The sequence below is a fragment of the Homo sapiens genome, chromosome X (assembly GCF_000001405.40).
Source record: "Homo sapiens chromosome X, GRCh38.p14 Primary Assembly".
Lineage (NCBI taxonomy): Eukaryota > Metazoa > Chordata > Mammalia > Primates > Hominidae > Homo > Homo sapiens.
The window spans coordinates 116916420-116940158 of NC_000023.11; the positions used below are offsets into that span (position 1 = coordinate 116916420).

Below are 23739 nucleotides of genomic sequence, written 5' to 3' on the forward strand. Positions count from 1 at the left end.
GGCTAGCAATGAAATGCTCTCAGGGTGGAACGTCTTCCCTTAGCTCGAAACAGGCAGTTCTGTGGTTTTTCTACACTCAACTGCAGGGATGCTGCACTCTGTATAGGGAGGGGTTGATGAACCCACCCCTCATACAAGTTTTGATACTTTTAGTAAGGGAGTTGCTGAATTGAAATCTTTTTTTATTATTCACCAGTTAGTTTATTTACCATGTAGTTAAAACTTGCTGAATTGAAATCGTTCTTTTTTTATTATTCATCAGTTAGTTTATTTACTATGTAGTTAAAAACTATTTTATACTCTTTTTTGTTTCCTTATTTTAAATTCTTATTTTAGGTTTGGGAGAAATTTACATATTGGTTATATAGGTAAACTTGGGTTATAAATGTTTCTTGTATAGATTATTTTGTCATCCAGGTACTAAGCTTGGTACCCAATAGTTATTTTTTGTGCTCCTCTCCCTTCTCCCTTTCTCCACCCTTAAGTAGGCCCCATTGTCTCCTTTTCCCTTCTTTGTCTTCATGAGCTCTCTTCATTTAGCTCCTACTTATAAGTGAGAACGTGCAGTCTTTGGTTTTCTGTTCCTGTGTTTGTTTGCTGAGAATGATGGCCTCCAACTCCATCTAGCTTCCTGCAAAAGAAATAATCTTATTTTTTATGGCTGCATAGTATTCCATGGGGTATATGTGGTGTATATGTAAAATATTTTTTTCTTTTTTTAATATATATATTTTTATTATACTTTAACTTCTAAGGTACATGTGTACAATGTGCAGGTTTGTTACATATGTATACATGTGCCATGTTGATGTGCTGCACCCATTAACTCGTCATTTACATTAGGTATACCTCCTAACGCTATCCCTCCCCGCTCCCCCCACCCACAACAGGCCCGGGTGTGTGATATTCCCCTTCCTGTGTCCAAGTGTTCTCATTGTTCAATTCCCAACTATGAGTGAGAACATGTGTTGTTTGGTTTTTTGTCCTTGCGATAGTTAGCTGAGAATGATGGTTTCCAGCTTCATCCATGTCCCTACAAAGGACATGAACTCATCCTTTTTTATGGCTGCATAGTATTCCATGGTGTATATGTGTCACATTTTCTTAATCCAGTCTATCATTGTTGGACATTTGGGTTGGTTCCAAGTCTTTGCTATTGTGAATAGTGCTGCTATAAACATACCTGTGCATGTGTCTTTATAGCAGCATGATTTATAATCCTTTGCGTATATACCCAGTAATGGGATGGCTGGGTCAAATGATATTTCTAGTTCTAGATCCCTGAGGAATTGACACACTGACTTCCACAATGGTTGAACTAGTTTACAGTCCCACCAACAGTGTAAAAGTGTTCCTATTTCTCCACATCCTCTCCAGCACCTGTTGTTTCCTGACTTTTTAATGATTGCCATTCTAACTGGTGTGAGATGGTATCTCATTGTGGTTTTGATTTGCATTTCTCTGATGGCCAGTGATGATGAGCATTTTTTCATGTGTCTTTTGGCTGCATAAATGTCTTCTTTTGAGAAGTGTCTGCTCATAGCCTTTGCCTACTTGTTGATGGGGTTGTTTTTTCTTGTAAATTTGTTTGAGTTCTTTGTAGATTCTGGATATTAGCCCTTTGTCAGATGAGTAGATTGCAAAAATTTTCTCCCAATCTGTAGGTTTCCTGTTCACTCTGATGGTAGTTTCTTTTGCTGTGTAGAAGCTCTTTAGTTTAATTAGATCTCATTTGTCAATTTTGGCTTTTGTTGTCATTGCTTTTGGTGTTTTAGACATGAAGTACTTGCCCATGCCTATGTCCTGAATGGTAGTGCCTAGGTTTTCTTCTAGGGTTTTTATGATTTTAGGTCTAACATTTAAGTCTTTAATCCATCGTGAATTAATTTTTGTATAAGGTGTAAGGAAGGGATCCAGTTTCAGCTATCTGCTAGCCAGTTTTCCCAGCACCATTTGTTAAATATGGAATCCTTTCCCCATTTCTTGTTTTTGTCAGGTTTGTCAAAGATCAGATAGTTGTAGATGTGTGGTATTATTTCTGATGGCTCTGTTCTGTTCCATTGGTCTGTATCTCTGTTTTGGTACCAGTACTATGCTGTTTTGGTTACTGTAGCCTTGTAGTATAGTTTGAAGTCAGGTAGTGTGATGCCTCTAGCTTTGTCCTTTTGGCTTAGGACTGATTTGGCAATGCAGGCTCTTTTTTGGTTCCATATGAACTTTAAAGTAGTTTTTTCCAATTCTGTGAAGAAAGTCAATGGTGGCTGGATGGAGATGGCATTGAATCTATAAATTACCTTGGGCAGTATGGCCATTTCCACGATATTGATTCTTCCTATCCATGAGCCTGGAATGTTCTTCCATTTGTTTGTATCCTCTTTTATTTCATCAAGCGGTGGTTTGTAGTTCTCCTTGAAGAGGTCCTTCACATCTCTTGTAAGTTGGATTCCTAGGTATTTTATCATCTTTGAAGCAATTGTGAATGGGAATTGCTAAATTCTTTTCCTAGCAAGGAATATTAATATTAATACCCTGGGAAAGGAATGGATTCCTGGGGGAGGTCTATAAATGGCTGCTCTGGGAATGTCTGTCTTATGCAGTTGAGATAAGGACTGAGATACACCCTGTTCTCCTGCAGTACCCTCAGGCTTACTAGGGTTGTGAAACTCCACCCTGGTAAATTTGTGGTCAGACCGGTTCTCTGCTCTTGAACACTGTTTTCTGTTGTTTAAGATGTTTATCAAGACAATACATGCACCGCTGAACATAGACCCTTATTAGTAGTTCTGCTTTTGCCCTTTGACTTGTGATCTTTGTTGGACCCTTATGAGTAGTTCTGCTTTTTCCCTTTGTCCTGTTCCCTCAGAAGCATGTGATCTTTGTTAGACCTTTATTAGTAGTTCTGGTTTTTGCCATTTGAAGCATGTGATCTTTGCACCTACTCCCTGTTCTTACACCCCCTCCCCTTTTGAAACCCTTAAAAAAACTTGCTGGTTTTGAGGCTCAGGCAGGCATCATGGTCCTACAGATATGTGATGTCACCCCCAGCGGCCCAGTCGTAAAATTCCTCTCTTTGTACTGTCTCTCTTTATTTCTCAGCCAGCTGACACTTATGGGAAATAGAACCTATGTTGAAATATTGGGGGGCGTGTTCCCCCAATAATTAGATAATATAATTATTAATCTATTATATTACATAATATAATATAAATGAGTCAATTTAGAAAGAGGATATAACAATTTAAAATATATACGCACCCAACACTGGAGCACCCAGATATACAAGGCAGATATTATTAGAGCTAAAGAGAGAGATAGACCCCAATACAATAATGGCGGGAGGCTTCAATACCACACTTTCAGTATTGGACACTTCTAGATAGAAATCTAGAAGAAGCCGACAGATTCCTTAACATCCACAACCTACCAAGATTGAACCAGAAAAAAATCCAAAACCTGAAGAGACCAATATAAAGTAAGGAGATTGAAGCCATAATAAAAAGTTTCCCAGTAAAGGAAAGCCCAGGACTTGATGGTTTCTCTGATGAATTCTACCAGGCATTTATAGAAGAATTCATACCAATCTTACTAAAGCTGTTTCAAAAACAGACGAAAAGATTACACTTCCAAACTCATTGTATTAGGTCAGTATTACCCTGATACCAAAATCAGACTAAGACACTTAAAAAAAAGAAACATAGAAGCCAATATTTAATGAATATTAATGTGAAAAATCCTCAGCACAGTACTAACAAACCAAATTCAGCAAGACATTACAAAGATTATTCATCATAACCAAGTTGGATTTATCCCTGGGATGAAAGGATGGTTCAACATTTGCAAATTAATCAATGTGATATATCATATCAACAGAATTTAGAATAAAAATTATATGATCATTTCAATTGATTCTGAAAAGCATTTGATAAAATTCAACATCCCTTTATAATAAAATCCCTCAAAGAACTGGGTATAAGAGGGACATTCCTCTGCATAATAAAAGCCATATATGTCAGACCCACAGCAAGTATCATACTAAATGGGAAAATACCGAAAAGGTTTACTCTAATATTTAGAACATGACATAGATGCCCTCTTTCACTAATGTTATTCAACAGAGTACTATAATTCAGAGCCAGAGCTGTTAGACAAGAGACAGAAATAAAGGTCTTTCAAATTGGAATGGAAGAGGTCACATTAGCCTTGTTTGTAGATGATATAATCTTATATTTGGAAAAAAAATCTAAAGCCTATACAAAAACATTATTCAAACTGCAAACACATTCAGTAAAGTTGCATATACAAAATCAACATACAAATCTCAGTATAATTTTTCAACAGTGAACAATCTGACAAATAAATATAAATGTGATTCTATATAAAATAGCCACAAATAAAAATAAATATATAGGAGTTACCTTAACCAAGAAGTAAAAAACTCCATAATGAAAACCCTAAAACACTAATTAAAAAAGATAACTAAAAACTAGAAATATATTTCATATTCTTGGATTAGAAGAATCAATATTGTTAAAATATCCGTACTACCCAAAGCAATCTACAGATTCAGTGCAACCCTTATCTAAATACCAATGACATTCTTCACAGAAATAGAACAAAACTATCCTAAGATTTATATGGAACCACAAAAGACACAGAATAGCCAAAGCTATCCTAAATAAAATGGACAAAACTGAAGGAATCCCAATACCTGACTTCAAGTCATACCACAGAACTATAGTAAACAAAACAGCATGCTACTGGGATAAAAACAGACACATAGACAAATGGAACAGAACAGAGCACCCAGAAACAAATTCACACACTTACAATGTACTAATTTTTGACAAATGTGCCAAGAACATACACTGGGGAAAAGACAGTCTCTTCCATAAATGGTGCTCAGAAAACAGGATGGCCATATGTAGATGAGTGAAACTAGACCCCCATCTATTGCTATATACAAAAATAAATTAACATGGATTAAAGCCTTAAATCTAAGACCTAAACTATGAAACTATTACAAGAAAACTTTGGGGGAAATCTCCAAGACATTGGTCTGGGTAGGATGGTGGTACCATGTGTTTGCAGCTGGTGTCATGATTGTTTCCTGGGACTTTCAGCCCAGCAGATGGCTGTGGGGTCTGCTCGTCTGCTCAGCTTGTGTTACCCCAGCCCAGTGCATTTCTCTCAAGCATCTGTACCAGCTTTAGGCCTGACCAGCCAGGCTTGTCCCAGGTCTTCTGCACCCAGATCTCTAGGCTGTTCCAAATGATCAGGGCCATGGCACTCCCTGGGAATCCAGCTGCAACTGGCTAACAGGCCACACCCTTCTGGAACAGACCTGTCTTGTGGAGGAATGGACACACAGCTCCCACACCCATACACAAACCTGTGCTACAGTCTTCTCAGTGTTCTGAGTGTGGGGACTCTTCTCCTCCTTGAGCTCAGACTGCAGATCTAGCTCAATATCCCCGGGCAATGTGTTTGAATTCTGACAAGTTTGGATTGCACCCACTGATTTGTCTTCTGGCCCCTCAGGGTTAGCACTGGCTAGGCTGGGTGGGCCAAATTGCTCCTAGGTAGCCAGGAAAATAGGCTAGGCAGTAGAGACACAGTTCTGCAGGAACGGCCAAACACGAGGTCTAGGAAGTGGCCTGCAAAGGGGCACGTGGATTTGATGCTGCTGTCCCACGGGAAAGGCAGTCTTGCTCTCTCCCAACTCAGCAGACAGCAGGAGCTGCAGTCACTCAGAGCATGATGGAGAGCCTTGAGGGATGGATGCCTGTCGTGTTTTGCTGCAGCTGTACCACATGTCATGAAACCTTCTGGGTTTTGTGCAGGTTTGAGCTCTGCCTCTGCCTAATCTCTGCAAAGTTTCCCCTGCCAATTCAAATATCTATGGGGGTTGTGAGATCTCTTGTATCTAGGATCCCAGAGGTCTACAGCAGGAGTGTGGTGCTCAGGCGTTTCTTCACTCACCCCTTCCTTAGGACTTGTTCAGTACCAAAAGCCAGTCCCGGGACTTGGCAACTCCTTGCAGGCTTCCCATCTTCTTCCCTCTTCAACCAGGTTGTCTGTGTTGTCTCTCTATTGACTAGCAGTGTTTTGTCTCAAAAGATCTGTTCTAAGTGTGATAGTTTACTTGAAATTGTGGTTCCTCTTCATGGGAGAGGCATTTCCCAGCTGTGACTAGTTGGCCATTTTAGTGTCCCCAAACTGGCTTTTTAACAATAGCCATTCTGACTGGTGTAAGATGGTATCTCATTATTCAAGGCAGTCTTTTACAAGTCTAGTTAACCAATAGAAGTTAATTAAATGTGACTGGGTGTCATTTGCTATTGTTAGACCACCTTGTTCATGATGCAAATTGTTTTATTCACCTCATCTTCACCTCAATGGCAAGAGAAGGATTTCTGCCTCAGGTTATGAGGATGGCTTAACACATGACTCTGACACTCAACAGCAATTTTTTAGTCACATATACATTCATGCACTGCATAATGATAGTTTGGACAACAACAGACTGTGTCATCTCATAATAATACCGTATTTTTAGTCTACCTTTTCTGTTTAGATATGTTTACATACAGAATGTCATATTGTTCCAGTTGCCAAAAATATTCATTACAGTAACATGCTGTTCAGGCTTTTTGTGTGGTAGGCTATAATATCTAGATTAGTGTAAGTGCACTCTATTATGGTTGCACATCAACAAAATAAACTAACAACGCATTTCTCAGAACATATCCACATCTTTAAGAAATGCATGACTGTATTCACAGCCCAGGGGAAGGGGCAATGTGCCATGGAGGGACACACAGGTGTTGTGCTCAAGAACAGAGTGAACAGTCAGGGGCTGTAGGAGGCCAGCTTTGTAGCATAAAGAGGATGGGATAATCTCTGGTTCCCACAGGGGAATATTATTGGCTTGTTTGAATAGTTTTTCTAGCTGACAGGCAATTGAAACTTGTTACTCGGGGATAAATAGGCACTTTGGCCCATATGATAGGAAGTGTTATTTGACTAGGGGTCTTTATCTGCAGGAGCATAATGGGAAGCAGAACTTGTAGTTAGGCCATTGAAGTTCCTCTCAGTTTTCCCCAGATGTCAAGGCACATATTATAGTAAACCTGAATTTTAGGTCTTATAACATGGTCAAAAAGACATCTTGATATTTGAGATATTATATGGAATTTTTATCCTAATCATAATGGAATTTTTATTTCTCATTTTCCTCCCATGTAATTATGGCTAGCTCTTCACAGGATAATTCCAGGCAAAAGCATCTACTGTCAGGTCCTCTTATATAAGTTTCACCTCCACTGGTGATCCCAAATTTCCATATAGCAGGAATTTATAGTGTGAATCCCAAATATCTGAGACAGGTCTCAGTCCATTTAAAAAGTTTATTTTGCCTGAGTTAAGGATGTGTCCCTGACACAGCCTCAGGAGGTCCTGATGACATGTGCCCAAGGAGGTCGGGACACAGCTTGGTTTTATACATGTTAGGGAGAAATAAGACATCGACCAGTACATGTAAGATGCACATTGGTTCAGTCTGGAAAGGCAGGACAACTTGGAGCAGTGAGGGGGCTTCCAGGTCATAGGTAGATAAGAGATGAAAGGGTGCATTCTTTTGAGTTTCTGATTAGCCTTTCCAAAGGAAGCAATCAGATATGCATTTATCTCAGTGAGTAGAGGGAAAACTTTGACTAGAATAGGAGGTAGGTTTGCCCTAAGCAGTCCTCAGCTTGACTTTTCCCTTTAGCGATTTGAGGGGATCCCAAGATTCATTTTCCTTTCATGCATTTCCTCTTTTTTAAAAAAAATCATTTGGAGAAAGCATTTTAGAAGAAAATGAGTCTCTGGTCTCAGGTTTCATCTGATCTCTTATGGCTAAGATGGTTTATTTCTAGACTAGTAGGTCTCACATATTAGGAAAGCCCATTTGTAGCAGGTTGTGAAGTCTCACATCCTATGAAGAGAAAATAGGGGGAGGAAGGGAGAAAAACAACATCAAACCAAGAAAGAACAATCCTGGAAAATCCAAATAGGCCACATTACTCTGAAATCTACATATCAGCAGGCAAGTGGTAGTGATGGAGGGTGTCCAGGTTCTTAGCATCTTAAACAAAGAATTGGACAAAACACACAAACAAAACAAGGAAAGAATGAAGCAACAAACGCAGAGATTTATTGAAAATGAAAGTACACTCCACAGTGTTGGAGTGGGCCCAAGCCTAGGGGCTCAAGGGCCCAATTATGGAATTTGGCAGGGTTTAAATAACCACTAGAGGATTCTATTGGTTACTTGGTGAACACCCTATATAAACAAAAAGGGAGAAGTAAAGTTACAAAATTATTTACTCAGCATACACCCTATGAAGAGGATATTTTCTGTCATAGATGAAGTGTAAATTAGCCTTATGTTCCCTGCCTCCAGACCCTATTTTCTTGCTTTATTCCCCCAGTGAGAGATGTGATCCCCATAAATCTTTATGGGAGACAGAGGAACCTATGGTCTTTCTTCTGTACCTGCTTCATCCTGGCTTGGGGCGTAGTCCCTACTGTCACACATGTCCCTGTGAAGAGACCACGAAACAGGCTTTGGGTGAGCAATAAAGCTTTTTAATCACCTCGGTGCAGGTGGGATGAGTATGAAAAGAGTGTCAGTAAAGGGAGATAGGGTTGTGGCCATTTTATAGGCTTTGGGTGGGTAGTGGAAAATTACAGTCAAAGGGGGTTTTTCTCCTGCAGGCAGGGGTGGGGGTCACAGGGTGCACAGTGGGGGAGCTTCTGAGCCAGGATAAGGAATTTCACAAGGTTAGTTGCTCAGTTAAGGTGGGGCAGGAACAAATCACAATGGTGAAATGTCACCAAGTTAAGGCGGGAACCAGCCATTTTCACTTCTTTTGTGATTCTTCACTTGCTTCAGGCCATCTGGATGTATTTGTGCAGGTCACAAGGGATATGATGACTTAGCGTGGGCTCAGAGGCCTGACACATACCTATTAGAGATCATGGAACTCTTGCCCTGCTCTTTCTAGTGAAGGCAGGGTAGCTTCTGGATGCCGAGGGGTGGTGTTTTCACTTGGAACTGGCTGGAACCTTTGTTGCATAATTATCTGAAGCTTGGTGATTTCTAGGTGAGAGGAAATGAATTTGGTTAAAAGATTTAATGGGAACATCAGGGGTTGGATACCTATGCTCTCAGGAATGTTTGTTATAGAAGTTTGCAGGAGAGAAAAACAAAACCTTCTCTGTTCTAGAATGTATGTGTTCCTTAAATTCTCAGCACAAGTGACTTCATTTGTTTTGGTTTGGTCTGTTGGGGCCTAGTGCATGAGCTTAGTCCAAAACAATGGCCTCCCATAATTTTGTTTTTAAAAATTCCCTCTTTTTGGTCAAGTTCCCACTTAGGTAAGAGTGTGACCAAAAATCAGGCCTTAGCGTCACTCTCAGTTACCATCATTTTGGGTTTCTGGTCTCGGCATGCCATTCATAGGTTATGGTGTCCTCATGGTTGCACACTTCTTTTAGTTCTTGCCATTCCAGTTGAAGAGAGACAATTTGACATCTTAGAGATGGCTGCATGCAAGCATTTAAACCTGTGAGAGAATGCAGTGCACCAGGTAAACAATTATTATGACTATTGGGAAGATAATACCAAGACTTCAGAGTATGTTTCTTACACAAGGTTCCCATAATCCAAACTCCTAAAATCAATTAGATCAAAGAATGAGCTAGATAAAGAGTCTGTTCATTTGACTACGCAATCTCTTCATTAACCCCCTACCACTGAATCTCTACAATCTTTATTTGATGTATTTCTTCATAGGCCACAAGAGCCAGCAGTTGCACAGCTACTTCTCTGTTCAGACAATTCTATCATAACTTTCACAAGAGAATTTAAAGTCTGTTGTGTAACTGTAGCCTTTACAGTAGAATCTGCTATAGAGCCTATCATGGGGGATACATTTCTAATCACAACTTCTTTTACTTCAAACCATGGAAAAAGGACCTAACAAATGATGCTCTTGTAGAAGAGCAAAGGCCTCCTGGCAATGTTCTCTTTAACCCATGATGTGGCTTAATAGGAGTGAATTAATGTTCTGTTTCTGACTAATTATGAGGCAATGTATATACCAATAAAGTTTCTTATCTACATTGGGCCTTCATATTTTATCTGTCAAAGTATAAGTTTTTCCATGTATAAAGCTGGCTGCAAACTTCTTTACAAATAAAAGTATACCCCATAAGTGCACATAACGGACCCCTTTCCCACTTCTATTGTTCATAGAGGCATAAGCAAGGGAAAATATTCAAAGATAATAGTTTCATAATAGTAGAAGTTTTAATCTGGGAACTTGGAAAAAGCTGTTTACATCAAGGATGCCATTTCTTCTGGCGAGTAAATTCCCTGGTTAGTTTTACCTTATGTGTTCCAATGGGTATACAGTTCCAGGAGTGTGGAGGTACCCTTCTCAGTTGTGAGATTATGAATCCAAAGTTCAAGGTCCCGAAGTTTTGTTGGAGTGTGGATGGCAAGGACAGTCTTTTTCTGATGTTCTCCAAAGATCCAAACCATAAAAAACTTCATTTACCTGGTGAAAATACACTGTAGCATAATAATCTATTGTTATAACATCAGCCCTCTTGCATGGAAAAGCTTTTATACAACCAGAAAACATGCATGGAAAATAACAATTGAATGAAATTACTTTATAAAATGTTTAAGTGGCCCACTAGGTGGCCCAATAGGTGACCAAATGTACCTGAAGCTTTAACTATTTTCCCAGGAGTATGGAGCAAAACATTGATTGTAAACTATTTTAGTAATTTGTAAGCCACCACAACAATGTATTCAGTTTAGATCATTTTTTTTCCATGATGAGGCATGGAATGAAAACTTTTAATAATGAAAGCTTTAAGGACTCAGGAAGGACAATGTGGCCATCCTGGTTCTCCATGAGTCCATGCTTAATTAACATTTGAGTTATAGCCTCTTGAATATCAGTTATTTTTCCAAATTAGGTGAATAACTGAAGGGTTATTTGACAAATTGTTTTCTTGGTATTTAATTTTTGTCTCACTTGAATTAGTAGCTTTATAAAAGGAAATTTAGTTATTACTGTAGCTTACAATAACTAATGTCATAACCATAATTATGATTGATAGCATATAATATAACCTAAAGAAGATTGAACATCATTTTGTCAATCCTATGTACCTAAAGATTTCAAATAATCGTGTTTACCTATTTTCTGGATGTTTCAGGGGTGCTCTGCTGATTAATCCAAAAAGCCAAGCATCAGGAAAGATAATTTTGAAACTAAAGTTTGATTTGGGGAAGGCTGTTAAATATGTTCAGAGTTTACAACACTTGATATTATGAAATAGAATTCCAGATTACCATAAACTATTTATTTTGCCAAAATGATAACTCAGAAATCTTAAAGAAGGAAAATCCTGTTATAACCCTTTATGGATTTTGCCAAAGAGCAGATTAGTGTATTAAGAAAACCTTGTTGTGCTTTTATTTTAATACACAATTTACAGAAAAACCATATAATACCGTTTTTAGTCAATATGTTCACACAAAGAATTTATTTTGCAAGATTAATTTTTAGAAACTTTCCACCATTTGTTCAAACTTTTAGCTCTATTTTATCTAACTTAAAGTAATCCTTTAACCCTAGGCAAGAACTTACATTTTCATGCCTTTTTATAACCCTTTTAAAAAAAACACACATTCTATGTTTTTACACACCTTGCATGTACTCTTAGTAATGTAAAACCTGGTAAGTTATGTTAATTACATATAAGGTTTAACTATTTTCAGCATAGCTAAGGGTGTGGCCAACTCCACATGTCCCCAGGTCTTACCTAGTTGTAAAGCAGGCAAGTTAAACAATTTTCAAAAGCCAAAGAAGCAGCTTATGACCTTAAGGCATTTAGCAAACCTAATATTTGAACATAATTTAAACCACATGTTTACGTTTTGAAGACATTTTCATTTTACCAATAATCTTTAAAACCATCCTTATTTTCCAAAGATTACTCAAGTTACATGAACTAAATAAAAGGCATTGTCCTTTTTACTTCTCTGACAAAATATTTGATTTAAGTTCTTATTATTATTAAAGCAATTAATTGAAGCTCTTTGGTATTAATTAAAACTTTACAGAACAGATAAACAGTGACTTCTACCTTTCATTTAACTAGTTTGCACAGAAAGAAAGAGGTCAGAGTTTGGTAAGAAATTCTTACCCTTTTGCCAGTATGTCAGGTTTCTGGGTTCTCTCTTCCTGAGCAGCCCTATCTACCCTGCTCGACTGTATGCAAACACATAAGAATATTCACACATAGATCATGAATTTTGGAGAAATTAGGCAAAGAGAGAAATACGACTCAATTTCTATTTATGAATGCATACTTAACACAATTAAAGTATCAAGAAGCCTAAAATCCAAAAAGTTTAAGGTTAAAAGGCTAGTGTGCTCCATCAATTCCTGTGGGCCTAATAAAGGTAACTTAGGAATTCCAGATAAATTGAACAAATAATGACTTGCTAGAAATGCATAGGAAGCAAAATAACTGTTCACAGAACCAAATAAGAGCCTTGACTATTTTTTTTAAGTTGCCAAATTGCTGATGTATTTCATTAAATACTTCTTATTTTACTTTAATTAAAACTAGGAGCTTAAACTAAGAAAATGTTAATTAGTGAAATGTCTCCAATTCTCTATCAGGTTTTAAAGAATATTTTATTATCTAAAGTTTTCCACATCTTTCTCCCCTACTTAATGTTTTTTTTACTACATTGTTTTATAAATAACATCATTAAATCTGTAATTTAAACTAACTTTCTGATAACTTCTGAATTAGACAAAATTATTATCTTTCTCACTAATAACATAACCCTTTCTGGCACATTTTATATTCAGAATTACACGTTATCTAGAATTCTTATCTTAGTAACCTAAAATGTTAGTGAAACCCTAAAAAACTAGAAATCCTGAACTATCAGATATTGGCATTTATAAATAAGAACAATCCCACAATTTTTGAAACCTATTTTCCCACACTACAACCTCTTTTTAATTGGAAATGACCCAGATATTCAATGAGCATTAAAAATAACTTTAAGATTTTAATTTACACAAGAAGTTTACCTAAACCATTTATTATATTTACTGTACTTATTTTTTTACTTTTAACAAGGGAGGCATGAGACATTATTTAACATACCTAAAATAAACATTGGTTTGGTCTGGAAAGGTGGGACAACTCAAGTGTGAGGGGTGGCTTGGGGGTTTCCAGGTCACAGGTAGGTGGGAGACAAATGGTTACATTCTTTTGAGCCTCTGATTAGCCTTTCCAAAGGAAGCAATCAGATATGCATTTATCTCACTGAGCAGGGGGATAACTTTGAATAGAATGGGAGGCAGGTTTGCCTTAAGCATTCCCAGCTTTAATTTTCCCTTCAGTTTAGTGATTTTGTGGGCAGCCCAATATATTTTCCTTTCATAATTGCTTTCATTTGTCAAAAGAAAGCATGCAAACCAAGATCATTTTGTTTTGGCTGTGATTATAATTTCATAACCTTCTATGGCAAACACTGACATCTCAAAATATATATCAAAGACAAACATAAAATCCAGACAAAAATGTATGCTGACAATTCTGAAGGCATTTCTATTTTTATTCTACTAATAATTTTAAAGCTAGTGTAACGCCAAAGGTGCTTGCCTTAGCCACACCAAAGATTTGGTGGGGCGGCAGCCCGTGGTGAGAGAGACACACGGATCGGACCCAGAGAAAAAAAGCTGTAGGCTTTATTGAACAGAGTGACAGTACAAAGCTTCCACAGTGTGGAAGGGGTCCCGAGAGGGTAGCCAATGTTAGATTTTTTTATCACCTTTTAAACTCTTTAAGGTGGGAAATACACGTGGTGGGAAGATGTTACCAGACTGAGAAACAAAGGCAATTAACATGTCTCAGATCTTGAGGAAAACTGGAATTGTAACTTAAGGTTTATCTACTTTATAACCCTGCAGCGGCATGGCAAAGGAGACAGGATTTCACAGGATTTTACAGATTGTGTTTACAATGAATTGGAATTGGGAGCATAGATAAGGTCTGCTGGTCACAGAAAAAATGGGCTTTTAACATTCCTTTCAGTTTCGGGCGGGGGGCGGGAAGGGAGAGAGGGAGAGAGGACACAGGGAAGCTTACAACAAAATTTTCGCTGTTTACAGCTTTCTTGGGGAAGAAAACACATGCACAAATTCTGATGTTAGGAATAGTTTAAGCATATATCTTTAATATTATTCATCCAGGACCAAAGTAAGTCCTGATGCAGGAAATGAGTGAGTTTCACAGCTTTCTGAGCCCCTACTGGACCCACGATGCCCAGCTGACACCTCCTCTTGCTAGCTTGTTCAGTAAAGTTATACTTAAGTCATGTGAACTTGAAAATTGCTTAGACTTATTTACTCAATTTATAAGTGCTATTTTACTTATTTGCCAATTTTAGTAGACACAATATATGACAATAAGTGTACATACAAATAAATACATCCAGACATGTATGCAAACACATAAATGAAGATCCAATAGCTTGGAAACTTATCCATGAGATAGCAATACAAGCTTGCCAGTTTTACTTTGTTTGCCCCAACAGATAATCCAATGAAGTCTGTGAACCAAAACTTCAGGTAAAGCAGTTTCCATGGCAGTTTGATTTTTAAAGGCCAAACTTCCTCAGACTCCAAAGAGCACTGGGGCCAAACAGCACCAAAGGAGAGAATCATCTGAAACAAGTGTGAGTTTGCTTTGAGCTAAGCCACATGTAGGGACCAGGGACCACAACTGGAAAAGATAAAATAGAGTTCTTCTCCCTTCCTGGCAGGGCAGTTATCCCCATTCACTCCTCCGAGGCCTTCAGATAATACTGGAGAGTAACCCCAAGCCGGTTGCCCTCAATTCAGAAGAGGCTGATAGAAAGGAGCTGCGAAAGGACTGAAAAATGAAGAAAGAAAAAAAAGGGAAAAAGATCCTGTTCCCTTAAGCAAATCAAGCAGCGGTTGTTAGGTGCCTCAGCATGGAAACTCCTTAGCTTCACTGGCCATAGCCAGAAACCTGCAGTTGCCTCCATCTTTAGGCACTGCCCACCAAGGGTACTTAGTTGGAAAGGAAGAGAGTGAGAGAGAGAGAGAGAGAGAAAGAGGAGAGAGAGAGAGAGATTAATTCCCTTGTATGGAGCAGAAAGGAAAAGGAGAAAAATAAATCCAAAACATAAGGCTTACTTCCTCCAGAAACTATTTTCCTGCCTCACAAGTATAGAAGTGGCTTTTGTATGTAAAAAGGTTGATGTTATTTTCTTCTGAAGTTTAAGTTGTCTGGCTTCAGTTCACAGAGCTTTAAGAAAACACAGCTTAGTTTTCAGTGATTTCAAATGAGAAAAAATGAGGAAAAAATAAAAATAAAGAAAGAAAAAAAACTGAAAACATTATTTTGGAGACTTGTAGCCAGGAACAAATTTAGAATTCAGTCTAAACTGTAGAAAATAATAAACATTCAAAAACATTAGGCAAAAGGAGAATCTAACAGCAGGTGCATTATAGTTTATTTTGAAATGTAATTTCTCTCTCTCCAGTTCCGTTTTCACTAAAATCAAATTATAGGACAAATTCATTTGCAAAATGAGTTTTAGTCTTATTATACTTGGCCAGAGTATTTTCATGAAGTCAGCAAGAATAATTATTTGCTACATATGTCCCTCCTTTTTTCTTTAAACTGGCTTTACTAGAACTTCATTTCATAAGGAATCTCAGGTTCAACTTTAATACCTTAAGCTTAGCCTGTGCCTGCAAAAACCCATATTAATTGGGTAAATTCCTCACCTTGAGGGCCCAAGAAAACTTGGGGCTCCTGGGCCTGTCAGAAAGTAACATTCTTTACTTACCACAGGTCAGGAACGTATATGGGGACTGTGTAGACAATGTATGAGGTCAGCTTTCCCAAGGTGCTTTTTTTTTTTTTTTTTTTTTTGAGACAGTGTCTCACTTTGTCACTCAGGCTGAAGTGGCGTGTTGTGATCTTGGCTCACCACAGCCTCCATCTTACAGGCATGGGTGATCCTCCCACCTTAGCCCCCTGAGTACCTGGGACTGCAGGCATGCACCAGTATACCTGGCTAATTTTTTGTATTTATGGTGGAGACAGGATTTCGCCATGTTGGCCAGTCTGGTCTTGAACGCATGAGCTCAAGCAATCTATCCACCTCTGCCTCCCAAAATGCTGGGATTACAGGCATGAGCCACCATGCCCAGCCCCAAGGAAATTTTATTGGCTCTAAAAGTCAACTTTGATTCCTTAAAGAAGTCTGTATCTGATAGCATTCTATGCCAGTCAAAACCTTAGTAAAATAACCAGTGTCTCCAATTGTGTCCTGTTACAAAGCAAAACAGATTCTTATTGTAGTTATGCAAATAATGATGTTTCTGTAAATTGAGAATACTCACAACTACTTTCCAGATTTTGAAAAAAATAAGTAGAGGGAATTATGCCCCAGAATTTATTTGTAGGAGTACACTTTTCTCAATCGTTAAAAGCCATAAATAGCTCAAAAGAAAAGTTTCATTGGCTCTGAAAAGCAAAGAAATGGTCAGCAACATTTTAAGCAAAATGTCATAAAATGATTATTTCAGTCTTCTATTAGTTCAGACCATGAACTAGCTCCTGTTCTGCTTGATATTCATGAACATTTCAGCTCTCCATGGGAGTCTTAAAAGTTTTTTTCTATTCCAGGAGATTTCACAATCTCCAAAACCTACATTCTGGAACACCAGTCAGAGTCCTAGGCTGAATATAAAACCACATTTTTAAAAAGGATGAAAGTAAAACAACTGTGGTTAATATGGTTTGGCTCTGTCCCCACACAAATATCATCCTGAAATGTAACTCCCAAAATTTCCACGTTATGGGTGCAACCCTCTGGGAGGTGATTGAATTATGGGAGCAGGTCTTTCCTGCACTGTACTCATGATAGTGAATGAGTCTAATGAGAGCTGATGGTTTTAAAAAGGGGATTTTCCCTGCACAATCTTTCTTCTCTTGTCTACCACCATGTGAGATGTGCCTTTCACCTTCCACTATGATTGTGAGGCCTCCCCAGCCACATGAAACTGTAAGTGCAATAAACGTCGTTCTTTTGTAAATTATCCAGTCTTGGGTATGTCTTTATCAGCAGCGTGAAAACAGACCAATACATTAAGTTGGTACTGAGAGTGAGATGTTGCTGAAAAGATACCTGAAAATGTGAAAGCAAGTTTGGAACTGGGTAACAGGTAGAAATTGGAACAGTTTGGAAGGCTCAGAAGAAGATAGGAAAATGTAGGAAAGTTTGGAACTTCCTAGAGATTTGTTGAATGGCTGTGTCCAAAATGCTGATAGAGATATGAACAATATGGTCCAGGCTGAGGTGGTCTCAGATGGAGATGAGGAACTTGCTGGGGACTGGATCAAAGGAGACTCTTGTTATGTTTTAGCAAAAAGACTGGCAGCATTTTGTCTCTGCCCTGGAGATTTGTGGAACTTTGAACTTGAGAGAGATGTTTTAGGGTATCTGATGGAAGAAATTTCTAAGCAGTAAAGCATTCAAGATGTGACTTGGGTGCTGTTAAAGGCCTTCAGCTTTAAAAAGGAAATAAAGCATAAAAGTTAGGAAAATTTGCAGCCTGACAATGCAATAGAAAATAAAATCCCATTTTCTGAGGTAAAATTCAGTCTGGCTGTAGAAATTTGCATAAGTAACAAGACACAGAATGTTAATCCCCAAGACCATGGGGAAAATGTCTCCAGGGCATGTCAGAAGTCTTCATGGCAGCCCCTCCCATCACAGGCCCAAAGGACTAGGAGGAAAAAGTGGTTTCCTGGATTGAGCCCAGGGTCCCCATGATGTGTGCAGCCTAGGACTTGGTGCATTGTGTCTCAGCTGCTCTAGCCATGGCTAAAAGGAGCCAATATAGAGCTCAGGCCATGGCTTCAGAGAGTGCAAGCCCCAAGCCTTGACAGCTTCCATATGCTGTTGAGCCTGTGAGTACATAGAAGTCAAGAACTGGGGTTTGGGAACCTCCACTTAGATTTCAGAAGTTTTGTGGAAATGCCTGGATGCAGGGATCTCATGGAGAACCTCTGCTAGGGTAGTGCATATTGGAAATGGGGTTGGAGCCCCCACACAGAGTCCTTACTGGGCACCATCTAGTGGATCTCTGAGAAGAGAGCCACTGTCTTCCAGACCCTAGAATTGTAGATCCATCTCCAGGTTGCACCATGTGCCTGGAAAAGCCACAGACACTCAACACCAGTTTGTGAAAGCGGTCAGGAAGGAGGCTACTGTACCCTGTAGAGCCATGAGGCAGAGCTGCTCAAGACCATGGGAACTCACCTCTTACATCAGTGTGACCTGGATGCGAGACCTGGAGTCAAAGGAGATCATGTTGGGGCTTTAAGATTTGACTGCCTCATTGAATTTCAGATTTGCAGGGGCCTTGTATGCCCTTGGTTTGGGCCAGTTTTTTCCATTTGAAACCCAATGTCTGTACCTCCATTGTAACTAGGAAGTAACTAACTTGGTTTTGATTTTACCGGCTCATAGGCAGAAAGGACTTGCCTTGTCTCAGACAAGCCTTTAGACTGTGGACTTTTAAGTTAATGCTGAAATAAGTTAAGACTTTGGGGGACTGTTGGGAAAACATGGTTGGTTTTGAAATGTGAAGTTTATATAAAAAGTTTAAATCACTTGATATGATAAAATGCAATCATGGGTCCTTGTATAAGTCTCATTTATTTAGCCAAAGTGATAACTCAAAGATGTTGAAAAAGGACAAAATATTTATTTTTTGAGAGAGGAGACTTAATTTCTCAAACAATAAACCCCAATAAAAACAGCATGAGGCCCATTAAATGTGTTTTTCAAAATTTTATAAACAATCTATGAAATTTTAATCATCTTGACAATAAGATATAATTTTCACAAGCCTTTTAATATCCTTTATAACCTTTATTAAGGAGTGTGTTAATGCTCATTTTAATGTCTTTTTAACCTTTATTAAGGAGTGGGTTAATGCTTCAAGAAAACCTTGTTAATCTGACGCAGGGACCCATATGCTAGACTTGCATTAGAGTGCCTTTGACATTAATGGTTAATATATAGAGAAATTGAACTTATTTTATTTCTCAAAATCAGCCCTTACAATATCATGTGGCCATCTCTTTCAGAATAGTCTCTGGGCCTTGAGGAGTTAAACAGTTTTAATTTCCAGCCCTGTGTCTCATGAACACAGTTTATTTTGACTGGCATCTTCTACCAGGTCTGAAGATGAGGATTTAATTGCTGTCAGTGTTAAGATTTAGCAGGACTTGGTGTTCCTTTTATATCCAGGAGTCAAAGTCCCATAACTTAATGTCATGAAGACTTTTAAAGAACATACTAAAAATTCCACTGGTGTAATAACCTTAATTTAAAAAAATCAGTTTTTTCTAAGCAAACCAAACTTAGTAATAATGACATAGGAATTATTTTGATAAAGTGTAAGATCTGTTTATTAGGCTAGTCACCCAAAGGCAAAATAAAAGACCTTCTGCAGTGTGACTGCTATTCCCTATGGGAAATTTTATGTTGGCAGGAAACATTTCTTTTGGACCTCTAAGATAAAACATTTTTTGTTTTGTTTTTAACATCCAGCTACAACAGTTAGAATCCAAAGGAAAAAGAAAAACTTCCAGGAGTTGAAAATGAGTTGAAGCATAGAGTTATTATTTCAAGCTTTTTAAAAAGGAAGGGAAAGCTAAAAACAGATTGAACAAAAGTTGAACTCTGCATTAAAAAATTATAATGTCTTGCAATGTATTAAGAGTAAAGCAATAACTAAAAAATTGTAGTTTGAGCCAATTCTTTAGTATATAAGTGGTTTTTATTTTTATTAAAACCCAATCTCTAGAAAGACCATTATAATTTCCCTGTAATTATAGATAACTTGATCATATAATTTTTTAAATAAATCCCCTTATTGTGACTTGCATGGACCACTCATGATATGCTTGGACTTTCTGGTTTATCCTGAGTATCAATCTTTCTTAAACAACCAGTTATTTTATTCTAGGACAAAATTTACCATATGTAATAGTCTGTTCTCATGCTGCCATGAAGAAATACCCAAGACTGGATAATTTATAAGGGAAATAGGTTTAATTGACTCACAATTCAGCATGGCTGAGGAGACTTGAAGAAACTTACAATCATGGCTGAAGGCACCTCTTCCCAGGGCAGCAGGAGAGAGAATGAGAACTGAGTGAAGGGGGAAACCCCTTATAAAACCATCAGATCTCATGAGAACTCACTCACTATCACAAGACCAAGATGGAGGAAACTGCCCCCTTGATTCAATTATCTCCACCTGGTCCCATCCATGACACATGGGAATTGTTACAGTTCAAGGTGAGATTTGTGTGGGGACACAGAGCCAAATGATATTCTACCCCTAGCCATTCCCAAATCTCATGTCCTCACATTTCAAAACACAATAATGCCCTTCAAACAGTCCCCCAAAGTCTTAGCTCATTCTGGTATTAACCCAAAAGGCCAAGTTCAAAGTCTCATCTGATACAAGGCAAGTCCCTTTTCGCTATGAGCCTGTAAAATCAAAAGCAAGGTTACTTGCTAGATACAATTGAGGTGCAGGCATTGAGTAAATACACCTTTTCCAGATGGGAGAAATTGGTCAAAACAAAGCAGATACAGGCCCCATGGAAGTCCAAAATCCAATAAGGCAATCATTAAACATTAAAGTTTCAAAATGATCTCCTTTGACACCACATCTCACATACAGGTCATATTGATGCAAGAGGTGGGCTTCCATGGCCTTGGGTGGCTCCACCCCTGTGGCTTTGCAGGGTACAGCCCCTAATCCTGGCTGTCTTCACATGCTGGCATTGATTGTCTGCGGGTTTTCCAGGTACACGGTGCAAGCTGTCAGTGTATCTAACATTCTGGGGTCTGGAGGATGGTGGCCCCCTTCTCACAACTCCACTAGGCAGTGCTCCAGTGGGGATTCTGTGTGGGGGCTCCAACCCCACATTTTGCTTCTACACTGCCATAGCACAGGTTCTTCATGAGGGCTCCACCCCTATAGCAAAATTCTGCCTGGATATCCAGATGTTCCCATACATCCTGTGAAATCTAGGTGGAGGTTCCTAAACCTCATTTCTTGACTTCTGTACACCTATATGCTCAATACCACATAAAAGCCAAAAAGGCTTGGGGCTTACGCCCTCTGAAGCAATGGCCTGAGCTGTACATTAGCCCCTTTTAGCCACAGCTAGAGCTGAAGCACCTGGAACACAAGGAACACATGTTCTGAGGCTACACAGAGCAAGGGGACCCTGAGCCCAGCCCATGATACCATTTTTCCCTTTTACACCTCGGGGCCTTTGATAGGAGGGGCTGCTATGAAGGTCTCTGACATGCCCTGGAGACATTCCCCTTTGCTTGGTGATTAACATTCTGCTCCTCATTACTTATGCAAATTTCTGTAGCAGGCTTGAATTTATCCCTCCAAAATGGGATTTGCTTTTCTGACACATCCTGTAGCTGCGAATTTTTCAAACATTTGTGTTCTGCTTCCTCTCGTATGCTTTGCCACTTAGAAACTTCTTTGACTACCCTAAATTACCTCTCTCAAGTTCAAAGATCCACGTATCTCCAGGGCAGAGACAGAATACCTCTAGTCTTTTTGCCAAAGCCTAGCAAGAGTCACCTTTGCACCAGTTGCCAAGAAGTTTATCATCTCTATTTAGACCAACTCAGGCTGGACTTCATTGTCCATGTCTCTATCAGCATTTTGGTCAAAATCCTTCAACAAGTCTCTAGAGAGTTCCAAACTTTCCCACATCTTCCTGTCTTCTGAGCCCTACAAGTCCCTAGGAAGTTCCAAACATTCCCACATTTTTCTGTCTTCCTTTGAGACCTCCAAACTTCCAACCTCTGACTGTTACCCAGTTCCAATGTTGCTTTCATATTTTTTTCATATCTTTATGGCAGAACCCCATTCTCTGTGGTATCAATTGACTGTATTACTCCATTCTCATGCTACTATGAAAAAACACACAACGTGGTAATTTATAAAGGAAAGAGGTTTAATTGTCTCACAGTTCAGCATGGCTGAGGAGTCCTCAGAAAACCTACAATCATGATGGAAGGAAACCCTTCACAGGATGGTAGGAGAGAGAATGAGAATTTAGCAGAGGAAAACCCCATATAAAACCATCAGACCTTGTGGAAACTCACTCACTATCACAAAAACAGTATGGAGGAATTGGCCCCCATGATTCAATTATCTCCACTTGGTCCTACCCTTGACATGTGGTGATTATTACAATACACACTGGGATGTGGGTGGGAACACAGAGCCAAACCACATCACCATACGAGATTCTTTCTCATATAAAATTATTTTTCTTTAAGTTTCCTACCCAAAATACCACTTTATTTCTATAATTTTCTCTCTTATTTCCTGGTTCCTTTACCTTGTTTTATATATAATCTTTAAATAAGCTTTGATTAGACAAAATGTATTCACTTTTTAAAAAGAACTTTTTTTTAGAAAGAATGTTTTACTACAATCTTTTTTATTGGAAAATATCAATTAATGAAATAGCTGTTATTTAATTTAATATAATGCTAGATTATAAATTATGACGTTTGTCTACAAGCATTTACCCGATTATATTAACCTAATTATTTTATTTTAATAGTTTACCTAGATTATTTATGGAAACTTTGGTAGTCATCATTTAAAATTATGAAAACACTATTGCAAAATTGGAACTGAGACAGTGAAAGAGAGCTTACCTAAATGATTCCATCTTGCTTTTAACCTTAACACTGTCCTTGTTTATTCCTGGGCATAGACCAAATTAACTTTGGGAGAAACTAGTTTATAGTTTTGCTTTGAAACAAAGACAATGATAGTCCTTTCCCAAAGTAAACCTCCTTCTTGCTTGGGGACTAGACTGCCTAAAGCCACAAGATTAGAAATTATGGTTTAGGATTCATGCAGCTGGAGGCTACAAGATTCTAAATCTCCTCAAATTGCTCCTGGGGATAACGTAACTATTATAAAATATAAGACCAGTGCTTGAGATATTTTGCAGACCCTGCACTTGATGGATCAGCTGGCACCACCTAGATCAATGAACTGGCTCATCTGGTCTTGTGGCCCCCATCCACTAATTGACTCAGGGTAAGAGGAATCAACTCCCTTTGATTTAACCTCCAACCCAACCAATCAAAACTCCTGACTCACTGGAACCCTTCCCACAAAATTATCCTTAAAAATTATGATCCCCGCATTTTCTGTGAAAGTGATTTGAGTAATAATAAAACTCCAGTCTCCTGCACAGCTGGCTCTGTGTGAATTACTCTTTTTCTATTGCAATTCCCATATTTTGATAAATCAGTTCTGTATAGGGAGTGGGCAAGGTGAACCCACTGGGCAGTTATAGTTATTTCCTGGTCAACCATTTTATAGCCTGTGAATTTCAGGTGTTTACCTAATTAAGAATCTTAAGATTAAATATATGTTTATTTTAATAATAATTCAAGATTTAGCTATTTTTATTAAGCCAATATTAATGGCTTACTTATCAAAAATTACACAAGCAAAATCATTC

The 23739-nt window shown here is 38.4% G+C and overlaps 2 annotated features.

Annotated features, from left to right (window-relative positions):
* Positions 14653-15161: an enhancer, noted in NCBI's record as "H3K27ac-H3K4me1 hESC enhancer chrX:116065040-116065548 (GRCh37/hg19 assembly coordinates)". NCBI's record gives its function as "activates a minimal SCP1, AML or CMV promoter by ChIP-STARR-seq in primed H9 embryonic stem cells {active_cell/tissue: H9 hESC(primed)}" and the evidence as "EXISTENCE:reporter gene assay evidence [ECO:0000049][PMID:30033119]".
* Positions 15162-15670: an enhancer, noted in NCBI's record as "H3K27ac-H3K4me1 hESC enhancer chrX:116065549-116066057 (GRCh37/hg19 assembly coordinates)". NCBI's record gives its function as "activates a minimal SCP1, AML or CMV promoter by ChIP-STARR-seq in primed H9 embryonic stem cells {active_cell/tissue: H9 hESC(primed)}" and the evidence as "EXISTENCE:reporter gene assay evidence [ECO:0000049][PMID:30033119]".